The 14367-nt window shown below is 36.4% G+C and overlaps 2 long non-coding RNA genes across 2 annotated transcripts in view; one reads left to right on the forward strand and one right to left on the reverse strand.

Moving 5' to 3' along the window:
• Positions 1-8530, forward strand: part of LOC105374958 (uncharacterized) — a 119161-nt gene extending 110631 nt beyond the window's left edge. Inside the window, exon 5 of the long non-coding RNA XR_001744010.1 lies at positions 8342-8530. This is a non-coding gene — a long non-coding RNA (uncharacterized LOC105374958). The remainder of the gene's footprint in view (positions 1-8341) is intronic.
• The window catches only part of LOC101928519 (uncharacterized), a 111938-nt gene that overhangs the window by 19201 nt on the left and 78370 nt on the right, over positions 1-14367 (reverse strand). Inside the window, exons 7-9 of the long non-coding RNA NR_110860.1 lie at positions 11848-11998; positions 10549-10665; positions 185-328 (exon numbers count right to left, since the gene is read on the reverse strand). This is a non-coding gene — a long non-coding RNA (uncharacterized LOC101928519). The remainder of the gene's footprint in view (positions 1-184; positions 329-10548; positions 10666-11847; positions 11999-14367) is intronic.

The raw sequence follows: 14367 nt of genomic DNA on the forward strand, positions 1-14367 counted from the left end.
TCTCAGTTCTTATTAATGAAAACCAACCTCTGCTATTCTAACACGTATATTTGATATAGGAAGATGCCCAGTGCTTGTTAACACTGACAAAAACCTTCTCCACTCCCTTAAATAATATAATGGAAATAATAGTATATATTTAGTGCATATATATAGTACAAATTCTAAATTCTGTGACACTCACCAAAGCATAGTCATAAAGCACATTGGATATGACAATTCAGCCTTAGAAGTGATGGAGAAAATTTGTCATCTTGAGGTCTTCAATAGTACTTAAGCTGCTGTTGAGACTTCTCTCAGCAATGATATGCAAGTCCATGGCCAAGCCCTGTGGTAAATGCAAATTATGTAATTTTTATGACCTCTCAGATTAATGGAAGAAGTAAGGGATGCACATACAGAACCAGAATACATAGTATAAAGTGCTAAATGCAGTAAGAAAGTTGGAAAAAATGCTTCGGGAGATAAGGGAGAGAGGAACTGTTTCTGGCTGTGGGAAACAGAAAAGCTTCAAAAAAGGAATTAGCTTTGTGTTGGAACTTGGAGGACAGACTACATACTGGAGATGTTCAGTGATACAGCCCAGAAGGCAAGGTCCTGGTTTCTAAAGGGAGTCACTGAAGCAGTATGTTACAGTGTACCGGAATTAATTCGGATCATCCTGACCCCATGTCCCCACATCCTACTACTAATTTTTCTCCTGATAGTACTAATCCTTAGCTTGAATTCACCAATTGGGTTAGAAATATTTGCTCCAGTTCAGTTCTTGAGATCTTATATCTGAAACCTATATAGTGATTAACATTTTGTTCCCCTCTATGATACTCTGTCATTGTATGTGATTAATTTGGTTTGGTATTGCTACCACCTGTGCTGTGACCACCCAGGGTGTTAAAATTTTGTACTAATCCCTGACTGCTTGAACTAATTCCAGTGAACTTCAACCTTTTACAAGTCAATTCCCAAAATATGTTGTTACCATTGATAGTCTTCAAATGAGTTTGTGGCTCCCATTGGCATAACTTTATCCCAAAAGCCTTGAGCTTATCATATATCTAGTAATTTTGTCAGCAATCTCAAATACCTATTTACATGTGCCATACCTTATACCCAGTCTGTGGCACAGGAGCAGATATACAAATTAGGTCTTCCAGTCTTCCAAAGTTTTCTAAAACTGGGCATGTATTGTGACCTTGAGTTTCATCTTTCTGATATATGTTATAATAAATGTAATAAAATAAATTAAAAATAAGGGTAAAACTTAGAAATTCACCTTCCCAATCTCCATTCCTCAGCCTCAGTCTCATTTCCCAGAGACAATTACATTTAAATATTTCTAATTTTAGTTCTAGTGTTTGTCACTATAAGTACTGGGCTTTAGATAGCTTATGCACACTCCATTCTACAAAGGAGGAATTTAGTTCCCTTACTAGAGTCTTCTTCTGTTTTCATTCTGATTTACAGTATTTTCAGTTTTTCAAGTGATTGCCTTCATAATTTTAAATGATACTACTCCTTCAATTTGAGATTTCAACATTGAAAATCATAAAAGATTCTTTCTTCTGCTGAATAATATTGAGTGTCCACATTGACAAAATGCTGCACTAGGTTCTAGCAATAAAATGAGTAAAAACAGACATAAACCCTGCCATAGTGAAAATCACCACTTAATGAAAAGGGTGATCAATAATAACAAAACAAAATAAATTATAATAAGTGTGGCCCAAAATAAAATCATTATGAGATAAGTTATGAGAATTTATATTAAGGAGGTCAGGGATAGTTTCTCGGAAGAGACCACCCTTGATAAGAAATCTGACCAATGAGTAGGATTTATCTATGTGGAAAATTGTAACAAAGGCTTTCTAAGCAGAGGAACAGCTTGTGCAAAGACCCTGTGGCAGAGAAGTAATGGTGAGTGTCAGTGGGACTCAAATGGAGAAAGTTAAGAACTGCAGAGATATAAGAAAGAAAAGATAAATATCGACTGGCCATTTGAAGCTTTGCAGGGTTTATAAAGGAGTTTTGCCTTTATCCTAAGATCAAGGGAAAGTCACTTAATTCTGATCAAATCATGATCAGAATAAGGCTTCTGAAAGTTCACCCTGGTTACAGCTTAGTGGATGTAAAGAAATAAGCTGGAGTCTTACTTCTTTCCCTATAGATCTTACTTCTCAGTCTTAACATTGCTTTCAAATTGCCAATAATTTTCTTATTTTTATTAGCTTATAACTATATATGAGCCTTCAATATTTCCTCTGCAAATTGAGTGTAAATGTTAAAAACAATAAAAACATCTACTACCCTATGTCCTAGCAATCCCATTCCTAGGTATTTGCCCAGACACAAATGAGTGCACACATCCACCAAAATATTGTGGAAGGATGTCCATAACAGATTCATTTATTACAACCAAGAACCAAAACCAAGTCCAATGTCCAACAACAAAAATGGCTAAATTATATCATGTAAAGAAATATTACACAGCAATGAAAAGAAAATGAACTACTGGTAAACACAATGACAAGGATGACTCTCACAATGGCAGAAGTTAGACACAAAATAATACACACCATTGGATTACATTTAGATGAAGTTTAAGAACTGGCAAAACTAATGAATGGAGAAGGAAGTGTGAATGGTGATTACCATTTTGAGAATGGAAGGATGTGACAGGAAAGGCGCATAAAGACTACTTTTGGGTGCTGGAAATGTTATATATTTTCATCTTGGTAGTTATTACTTAGGTGTGTACATCTTTAAAACTTGATCAAACCTCATAAAGATTAGTGAACTTGACACTCATTTGACCACATATATTCTACCTCAGTAAAAAATGTAAAAAACAATAAACAGCATTTAAAATACTAAGATATTGCAAATATGTCATCCAGATCCAAGTGAGATATCTGGCACATATTCATATGTACCCCTGTAAGGAGATTATTTCAAGAGTGAAAGCCAAATTCATTCTTTAAAAAAATATTCTATCACTTTCTCAAAATCATGCCATATGGACAGTGAACTTTCACAGTCTACATGTCAGAAAATGTCTTTATTTCACTCTGACTTTATTAATTGTTTGGCTCCAAATCATTTTCTCTCAGAACATGGAGGGAGTTGTTACATTGTTTTCTAGAATATGGTGTTGTTAATGAAAAGTTTAAAGTTATTTTGATTTTTATAACTTTAAAAATTTTCTTTGAAAGCTGTAAGAAATTTTTTTTTACACACAGTGTTCTGAAGTTTCACCATAATTTATGTAGATACATTAAATTTCTATTACAGCTTAACAAATTACCACAAATTTAACTGTTTAAAATAATACTCATTTATTATATCACAGTTTGTGAAGGTCAGAAGTCCAGGAAAGGCCAGCTGAATCCATAGCACAGAGTCTCGCAAGGTTAAAATCAAGGTGTTTACTAAGCTGCATTCTCAAACGGCTAGGGAAGCATCGACTTCCGCACTTTCTCACGTTTTTGGCAGAATTCACTTCCTTGAAGCTGTAGAATTTATGGAAGCTTGCTTTTTCAAAGCCAGCCATAGAAAGAGAATCTCTTCTTCCCGTCTCTGAGCCCAAGAAGGCTTTTTAAAGGGCTTGCTTGATGAGGTCAGGCACACCTAGAAGAATCTCCCTTTCAATTAACTCAAAGTCAAACTGATTGGGGACATTAATTCTATCTGAAAACATCCCTTATCTTTGCCATGTAACGTAACCTAGTATGGGAATTGGGGACCCTCTCTATATTTAAGAAGAAGAGATGCCATAGGGCATGTACACAGTGGGTGGGATTCCTGGGAGGCATTTTAAAACACTGCCTACCACGTATTTTTCACACAATTCCTTTTCTTTTTCTTTTCTTTTTTTCTTTTTCTTTTTTTTTTTTTTTTTTTTGTTGTTGTTTTGTTTTTTTGGAGACTTGTTCTGTCACCAGGCTGGAGTGCAGTGGTACAATCTCAGCTCACTGCAACCTCCGCCTCCAGGGTTCAAGTGATTCTCCTACTTCAGCCTCCCAAGTAGCTGGGACTACAGGTGCCCGCCACCACGCTAGCTAATTTTTGAATTTTTAGTAGAGACGGGGTTTCACCATGTTGACCTGAATGGTCTCGATCTCTTGACCTCGTGATCTGCCTGCCTCGGCCTCCCAAAGGGCTGGGATTACAGGCAGGAGCCACTGCACCTAGCCCTTTTTGATACTTTCATAACCACAAAATTCTAAATAATACTGAGCTCAAATAATTGTTGAATAAAGAAATAAACAGATACTTTACAGCTCCTTTCAAATCTGAAGATGTGAATCTTTACTCTGCCCAAAGAAATTTTCCTGTTACATCTTCAAATATGTTTTACCTTTTTTCTGAACACTTTATTTTAATAAATATTATTCACAGCTCAATATTTTCACCCATTTTAAAAATTTCTTTGTCTTTTTCTTTACATTCTTATATATAAGGGTAGGGAGAGATATTTATGAATAGTTCATATCACCAACTTTAACAATTTGTGTCCAAGTTATTATTCAATTATCCTATTCAATGTTTTATTTTGACAATCTTATGCATTTCTAAGAACCGGTTCTGGTTCTTTTATCTTATTCAATTCTGGATATAATGGCTTCTCAAATCTCTCTGAGAATACTGAAATGATCATGTTTAAGTTTTCTTTTCTTCCTGATTACCTATTTCTTTACAGAATCAAGTTTCTTTTTATAAGGCCCCTTGTTGCTGCTTCTACACATGTATCTGGTGATTCTTGATTATCCACTCACAGTTGTTCATGAACCACTAAGTAATTTGGATATGGTGGATGAGTCTGTCTCCAATGTGCCATGCTGTTTCCATCTTTGTACTTGAGCTCATACTATGACTCCATCTGCATCTGTTAGGCCTTCTTAGTTCCAACATTCACAAATAGCTCCCATCTTTTGGTATTCACTTACAATGAATATCACACAGTACATGGTTTAGAAGGGTTCTTTATTTTATTTATTTTTTAGAGACAAGCTGGAGTGTCACCCAGGCTGGAGTACAGTGGACTGATCACAGCTCCCTGCAGCCTCAAACTCCCGGGCTCAAGTGATCGTCCCATCTCAGCTTCCCAAGTAGCTAGGACTACAAGTGTGTACCACCATACCTGGCTAATTTAAAAACAACAACAAAAACCCAAAACTTTTATAGACAGGGTCTTGCTATGTTGCCCAGGCTGGTCTTGAACTCATGTGCACTCAAGTGATCCTCCCGCCTTGGCCTCCCAAAGTGCTGGGATTACAGATGTGAACCACCATGGCTGGCTTCCAGTTTAGAACCTAATATCAGTTGAACTTATATTAGCAGGTAACTGATGTGGTTTGCCTCTGCAACTTGTGGTCTGTTTTTCTATTATTCTCCCTTGAAATAGTGGGATGACTGCAAGCTTTGTCTACATGGGTAAAGTGTGCATTGTAGCATGACTGACTTTAGTATGTATCAAAAGGGCCCAGTCAGTTTGTTTAGGGTCCAGCCAATATGGATGGACTTACTCTGGCATGTAGATGTCATCCATTACTCTGGGAACATATCATTTTCCCCTCTTGGTCAGATCTGTATTTCGTTTAAAATATCTTGTCTGTTGGAAGGTTTACATTAGACTCTGCTGTACTTTTTCATGTATCAGCACCTATATTTCTAGTTCTCCTCTGGCAGACTGTTGCATTTCCTTAATAGCAGCTCTCTGCTTGTATCACAGGATTAAAATGGCTGTGATTCACACGGGGAAGTGGGTCTGGGGTGCCAAGACATTAGTGGCTCAGTTGTTTCATAGACAGTATGTGAATTAATTCCTTGATAACTACCCTAGCCCATTTCTGCTCTCACTCCTTGGCAGTTCTGAGCATATGGACTTCCTCTTCTCTGCCAGAAAGAAGAGCTTCCACTCCTGTTGTGTCATTTGGCTCCGTTCTGGTGGTTTATTATTAATAAGATTCCATCTCCTTTCTATCTTTCAGGTGAATGCTAGATCAGAAAATGCTTACTAATTGAGAGTAGGACTTAACGCACAAGCAAAACTTATTATATCATGGTTCTTTTAATCAATATTTGACTATCTAGTTTGCAAACAATAATAAGTATTGTAGAAGATCAAAAGGAAGAAAAAAGTCCTTCATCCCAGGACTTTGGAATCTAGGAGGATTCAAATAATAATAATGAAGGAATAAGAACATTAAAAGACCCAAAAGAAATAAATGAGCATGTTATGAATCATACAGAATCACACTTTTGAACTGACTACTGCAGAAAACCCTGATATGTTTGAATCATGAATTAGGGCCACGCCAATGAGGAGCTACCACGACCTCATTCCCAAGCTGTATGTAGGATAAAGTTGCTAAATCTGAAGGGCTGGTAGCTCAAGAGGATAATGTCTAACAGCGATGAAGCTACTGCTGAAACAGGTGGAATGGAGTTTCAGGCTCTTCCCAGGTGCTTCCTTGGGCTTCTCTGTAAGCTATTATAAGCTAAGCAATTGAGGGTAAGACTTAAAGCACAAGCAAAACGTACTATATCACGGTTCTTTTAATAGAAAAACTATTAAAAGAAATACAATAAATATAATAAAAACTATTCACTCATAGCATATATATTTCCTCCTGATATCTAATTATGTCCTTACTCTCATTTCCCTTTCTTATTTAGCATGGATGTACAGACCTGGATTTGAGTCCTTCATTCATTACTCATTAACTGGTTAATCTTAGTTGAGTTCTTAAGCCTCCTTAACATCCCACTTATATAAAATAGGGTCAATAGTAGGACCTAATTAATAGGATTGTTTTGAGGAAAGTACACAGTACCTAACAAGTAATAAGAATTCAATAAATGCTAGTTACTTTTACTATTTAAGTTTTTGCCATATTTATTTATTTAATAGAAAAACTATTATCAGGAGTAAATATATAGTGCACCAGGGCACATTAGTTTTCTATTTTCTGTGCAATAAATTACCACAAACCTATCAAGTTAATACAGTACAAATTTATTATCTCACAGTTTCCATAGGTAAGAAGTCTGGACGTGGCAAGGCTGGTTTCTCTGCTCAGGGTCTCATAAGTCTGAAATGATGGTGTCAACCAGACTGAGTTCTTGGCTGGAGACTCTGGGGAAAAACTGACTTCTAAATTCATTATCGTTTTTGGCAGAATTCAGTTTCTTGCAGTTATAAAACTGAGGTCCTGGTTACTTTGCTAGCTGTCAGTGGGGGGCTGCTCTCAGCTCCTAGAGGCCACCCTTACCATATGGCCCCCTTTCTATTCCAGTTGTTGTGCCAAGTCAAATCCTGTCATGTTTCAAGTCTTTAACTTTGTCTTTGACCTCTAGACCCAGATTTAAGGGGCTCCTGTGATTAGGTTGGGCCCATCCAAATCATCTCCCTTTTGATTAACTTAGAGTCAACTCATTAGCATCCCAAATTACATCTGCAAGATCTTTTTTGCTGTGTAACTTAACAGAAGTGATGTCCTTTCATATCCAAGGGTTCCTCTTACAGTTAAAGGGAGGGAATTGTACAAGAATGGGTCCTTGAGAATCATTTTAGAATTATGACTACCACGCAGGGTCTCAGAAATTGCATTCCCCGTGACACCAACACTAAAGGAGGAGAAAAAAAAAACATCCCCTTCCCCTTCCTCCATTCATATCTACCCCCATTAATTTCATCCATGTGCAGCCAAACTCCTCTGAAAAAGAAAAGCAAGAAATTCTTTATTGTGTTGAGAGGATTCTGCCCTTGTGCTTTGTGTTGAGGTCTATTTTTACCAGGCTAAATGAGCACTATAAGGGACTTAAAGTAAGAAATGCTTTACTTTTTCTATTCTTAACCTGACAATCAACCTGAAAACCCTGATCCCCTACCAAGAAAAGGCAAACGAATCAAATTTACATTGACAAAGTATCTACAATAGGCATGGCACAAGCTTTACATATTTATATATAAGTTCACTTCTTTCTCAATAGCACGTCTGAATATTATCTCCATTTTATGGAAGACAAACCTAGGAGATAAAATAACCTGCTCAAGGCCACAGAAGTGAAGTAAAGAAGCTAGGACTGTCATCTAGGCTGAGGATTGTTAAATATATTAGTACAAGCCCTAGATGTCAGCTACTAAAAAAGACAACTATTTTTATTAGCAGATGTGAGACAGGCATGAGGATGTACAAGTTACTTTGCTTAGCATCATGAGCAAAGCTTCATTGACCTTCAAGGAAAGTGTCTAAAGATCTAAATTTAGTTCCAGGGCTTGACCTACTAAAGCAGTCATCATACTTGCAAAATTCTCATTCTCATTCTCATTCATCCACAGACCATAAGCCAGTGTCCCAACTAGGGACTTGAAGATGAGTCTACAGAGATGACCAGAGCGGTGCTGGGTGAACTTCATTTTCCTTTCCTAGTCAAGAAGGCTTAAGTAATAGTATGAGGAAATACCTGAAGACCCAAACCCTGGTAGAAAAGACACTGCTGTCATGGCAACATTCTAAGTATATTTTTATTTATTCTTTTTTTTTTACAGAAAAAAATATTTACAGTGGTTTACAGATTTTTTAAATATGACAAAATAACATAAATAGTAAAAGTAACTAGCATATATTGAATTCTTATTACTTTTTAGGTACTGTGTACTTTTCTCAAAACAATCCTATTAATTAGGTCCTACTATTGACCCTATTTTATATAAGTGGGATGTTAAAGAGGCTTAAGAACACAACTAAGAGGCTGGGCACAGTGGCTCACGCCTGTAATCCCAGCACATTGGGAGGCCGAGGTGGGCGGATCACGAGGTCAGGAGATCGAGACCATCCTGCCTAACGCGGTGAAACCCCGTCTCTACTAAAAATACAAAAACAAACAAACAAAATCAGCCAGGCATGGTGGTGGGCGCCTGTAGTCCCAGCTACTTGGGAGGCTGAGGCAGGAGAATGGCGTGAACCCGGGAGGCGGAGCTTGCAGTGAGCCGAGATCGTGCCACTGCACTCCAGCCTGGGCGACAGAGCGAGACTCTGTCTCAAAAAAAACAAAAACAAAAAAGGACCCCACTAAGATTAACCTAACCAGTTAATGAGTAATGAATAAAGGACTCAAATCCAGGCCTGTACATCTGGTAAACAAGAAAGGGAAATGAGAGTAAGGACATAATTAGATATCAGAAGTAAATATATATATGCTATGATATATGCTACGAATTACTATATACTTGCTAACGGAAGGAGACAAATTGGACTTAAAACTTTCAGATGGTACAAAGAAAGAAAACTGATAAATCACTAGCCTCAATGTCTATTTCTAGTGTTCCTAACATAAAATCTATTACTCAACTATGTATGACACTGTAAACATACTCAGTATGACAAGTGAAAACATTATTTTTGATTTTAGGTTTTTTTGTTTTTGTTTTTGTTTTTGAAATAGGGCTTGCTCTATTATCCAGGCTGGAGTTCAGTGGTGTGATCATGGCTCACTGTAGCCTTGTAGCCTCAATCTCCTGGGCTCAAGCAATCCACCCAACTCAGCCTCTTGAGTAGCTGGGACTACAGGCAGTATATACACCGCACCACACCAGGCTAAGTTCTAAGCTTTTATTTTTTATTTTTTATTTTTTTTGGAGAGACAGGGTCTCACTATGTTGTTCAGGCTGGTCTCAAACTTCTGGCATCAAGTGATCCTTCCACCTCAGCCTCCCAAAATGTTGAGATTACAGATACAAGCCACTACTCCTGGCTAAAAAACATTCCGTTTAGAATATTTGTGGAGAGCACCCTGCATTACTGTATGTATATCTAAGAGCTAATATTGCTGAACATTTATTCTGGGTCAGGCAGTTTATGTTTGTTTTATCCTTAATTCTTATCATCCTATGGTGTGAGTACTATTATTATTCTCATTTTACATATGAGCAAATTGAGACTTAGAGAGATGATATATAATAGGTCCAAGGTTACATAGCTAGTAAGTGGTAATGTCAAGATTAAATTCAAGTAGTCAGGTAGAACTTGTAATCACTATGCTATGTTGCCTCCAATTAGCAATTTATCAGTAGCCTTACAGTAGTTTATTGGTGCTATTTCTTATAGCATCACTAAATATACATATTAATCCAAAGTACAGGACAGTTAAGCAAAAAAGAAATTGCTGGGAGTCTGCCTACTCTGGAGTGTAGGCAGAGAAATATTCCATCAGTCCAGGGATAGATTTCAGAGCGCTTGGAGCATGAATTCTCAACATGGGCAATACCATCCAAAAGCAGATGATTATTTGTTCTTAGGAGGCCAGAAAATCTTAGATATTAAAATAGCTTGTAGACTTCTAAAAAGCCACAGTACATAAATATATATACCACTTATCTCTGATATTCAAGTTTCTCTAGGAGCAGGAAGGTGATAAGGAGAAAAATGTCTAAAAATGCTCCATAAGTGAGCAATTTGAAAAGCAAAAGGTTGAGAAATAACTGTTTAGAGAAATAGATGGACTGCATGTTCTTCAGATTATCTTCATAAATATTATTTCTCTCACCTGCAGATTTGATAGCTACAGAGTATCACCACATTCCAGACTGTCTACTCCGATAGGATCAAAAGTGAAGTTAGTCTGTTACCAGTTGAATACAAATAGTTATGCCCAAGCAGGTATCTGTGAAGGGATAGATTTGACATTTTAACTTGATAATTGAGTTGCCTAACAACTCAGTTATTAGGTCAGTGTTAGGACCCAAATGCCACTTTTGCTAGAAATCTGTAGATCATGCCAAGATTCTGCTTATAATGGATTCAAAATTACTTTATACCATGTAAATACATAAGTGGTCAAAGGTGCAAAATTTTATTCCAAATGTTCAGAATAATGTTAGTTTAAAAGTTTTCTGCTACTGGGAAGGGAACAAAAAGCCCTCATCTTATTTAAGGGACTAATAATACATACCTCTGAGTAAATTATCCCTCTCCCACTCACACAACTTTTGAATGTGCTTCTAAAAAACGTTTCACTTGTTCATGGAACATCTACCAAGGTAATGGCTTCAGATTTAGATTAATTAAATCATAGCTCTCTTTTCTGGCAAGAATCAGGTTGCAGTTTTGGTGGTCCATTAATTCCATCCCCAAAAGGATGATGGAGTAAGCTAATGCAGCTTTCTCCTATCTGGTCAGGGATTTTACCCTACTTATAAGTTAATAAGTAAGCCTGTTGCTGCTTCAGGAATGCTAGTAGAAGACACAAGACTCCTGAATCAGAGACAAAGGACTTTATTAATCATGGCAAAGCAAGCAACACAAGCACCAGCGTCTTTGCATCAGTTCCCCCTTGATCCCCATGTCCCATAGGGGTGAAACATAGAGTCCAGGTTGATGCAGTGGCTTTGTCTTACAGCCAAGGAACACTTAGATTGGAAACCTGCTGTTTTTATAGCAAGCAGTAAGCAAGCCTGCTCTTTGTTCCAGAGGAACACATTATCTTATCCCTCAAGGTTGCTTGCTACAAACACAACACTGAAAAATGACCAGGTAAGAGTCGTTAGAGACTTGAATTCTTTGCATATTCAGCAAGAAAACAGGAACAAAAGATACCCAAGGAGGAGTGTCTCCCAACATCTCTCCCCTGGAGTTCTCTTTACTCTGATTTCAATGAGTTGTGATTCTTCCAAAAAAATACTGTGGATACATTTTATTGTCATACTTAACTCCTTGTCCCACTACCTTTATTTCCTGTGGGCTTTTTCTGACTTAGGTAGAGGAATTTCCTGCAAAGTAAGCTGCCATAATTACCCACTTTACTATGGTCTTTATTAATTGTCTATATGTAAATTAAATTATTCACCTTATAAAAAGATGCTAGCAAATTTGAGAAAACAATCATCATCCATATTTGAGTTGCCTCAAAATTTAAAAGCCACTTTCTGAGGTCGAGGTAGGTGGATCACTTGAGCCCAGTTCTATACCAGCCTAGACAATATAGGGAGATCCTGTCTCTACAAAAAAATAACAAAAATTAGCCAACCGTAGTGTCACACACCTATGGTCCCAGCTACTTGGGAGGTTGAGGTGGGCATATCACCTGAGCCTGGGAGTTTGAGGCTGCAGTGAGCTATGACTGCACCATTGCACTCTGGCCTGGGTGACAGAGTGAGACCCTCTCTTAAAAAGAAAATTATAAGCACTGAAAGAATATATAAAAACATGTTTTCAGGAAGCTGGGCAACGTAAATTCTAAACTCTCAACTTGGGTTTCTTTGGTATGCTTAAGCATTAGTACCCATTATAAACTTACAGTTATTTCTAATTGTACTTACCCACACAGTCTTTTGGAAAATGACAGTGCTACTCAGTAGGAAGATAATATTTATTGATACTAAATTAATATGGTTGGAATAATCTTTTCATCAATATTACAATGCCCTCTTTTCCACAAATAGGACACATTATAAGAGCCCTATTTTCCTACAGAGCACTATCAATTCTTATATATTCAATTTTTAATTTAAATAGATTTATTAACAGTTTAAACATAAATGACTAGCAAAATAGTCAAAAGAATTAGTGTCTCTAGGAAACAAAGTAGAGGAAGAGGAATTTACAATAGATTTTATTTGACTCCATGCAACATCTCTGCAGCAGGGTATAAATATTTGAAGAGGTGTGTCTTGAGTCCAAACAAAAAAATAAAAAGGACTCTTGCATCCCAGGAGAATTTATATTTAAACTAAGCTATTTGTACTTGTTGCCCAAGACATATTTTAGCACAGTATTTTTGTGGATCTCATTTCTATAATGATTTATTTGCGCTTTGCCATGTGTAGTTAGGTTCTGGTGAAATCAGATGATCAAATATTGGCATCTTACTCAGTTTGTGTTTTATAGACATGGCCTTATGTACAAGTTTGCTTTTCATCTTTTTGCACTGGAAATTTTGTATTCTTTCCTTGATATGATAACTGCATTGAGCTCCTGTTTAGAAATAATCTGTGGTCAACAAACCAAGGATTTAAGTTCCAAAGCATATTAGACTCATAAAACTGGTATAGTCAAACACCTGAATCCCTTAGATTAAAAATATAAAGACAAAGAGAAGGCGCTTAAGTAAGTTAAAGCTGCCTTGGGGCACCAGCAAGTTATGGGTTGGCGGGTTTTATAAGACTACTTACCATGCCATTCAATTTAAAAAAAGAGAGCAGTTACCATGGCAACGCCACATCTAATGGTGCTTATGCTACCTCTGAGATACAAAATACCTTCTTCCAGGGACACATTGACCAACGCAGCCTGTTATGGGAAGTTTTTCATGCCTAATGTTAGCCTTAGAAGACAAAAACTGTATTTCAAGAATATGAGGAATATACAAACACACACAGAGATCTTAGTTTGCAACATTCAAATATCACAACACATTTTTAACTCATTTTCTTTCTTTTCCAACATTTTTAAGGATGAAGTTATTTTTCTAAACTTCAGGAAAATAAAATTCATTTAAGAGAAACATGTATAGTTTTGCTGATATATGGACATAGAAGTATTTTAAATTCTTCCATAACAGCTACCAAATATGTATAATTTTCTATTGGAATAACACTTTGAGCTCCTGACTATTAATACAGAAATTTGGATATTACTCGTGTTTCAGTAAATTATATATTAACTCCTGGCCAGAAAAATATGTTAAAGTCTTATTCATTTTTTAAAAAATTAAACCTCTTAAATGAAATAATTACTTAAGGAAGTAAAAAATAGTTTGGCTAAATAGTAAAGAATATGGCCTCTATTAATCTCACAAAAAGAAGTTAAATAAATATCAAAGAAAAATATGAATACATAATACAAACAAAACATTTTGGTGTAGAAGGTAATACCTTTTCTACATTATCTCTCAGATGAGTTTTAAGAAAGTGAGTGGGATGCAACCCATTCCAACTTTTTTCTAAACAATAGGTAAATATGCACCAATAAGTATTTTCTTATTCAATGGTGTTTTTATAGAGACCCATGTAAGGACTGTCTTAATGACTATCCAATACTGTGGGGTACTGCACTCAAATCCAGTGACCACAGCAGAAACAAATACCTAACAAAGGCAGAAGTTATATATCATATACCTTCTTTGTTTCATATATAGTTCTACAGTTACCAATTTGACATTTACATTCCTACTCACTTCTGAAAAAAAGACTTAGTATAGTTGCTGCATGAGTATTAGTGTGCTTTTAATGCAAACGTGGTTTACAACCCAAAGGTTTAATGCTTGCTCAGAACTCAAAGGTCAACTGTTATCAATGTAAAAAATTACTTTTTTAACAAAAAGTAAACAAAGTAAAAGTTTGTTGGAAAGTAAAAATTATTGTTACTT

Source organism: Homo sapiens, chromosome 6, assembly GCF_000001405.40.
Source record: "Homo sapiens chromosome 6, GRCh38.p14 Primary Assembly".
In the NCBI taxonomy this organism is placed as follows: domain Eukaryota; kingdom Metazoa; phylum Chordata; class Mammalia; order Primates; family Hominidae; genus Homo; species Homo sapiens.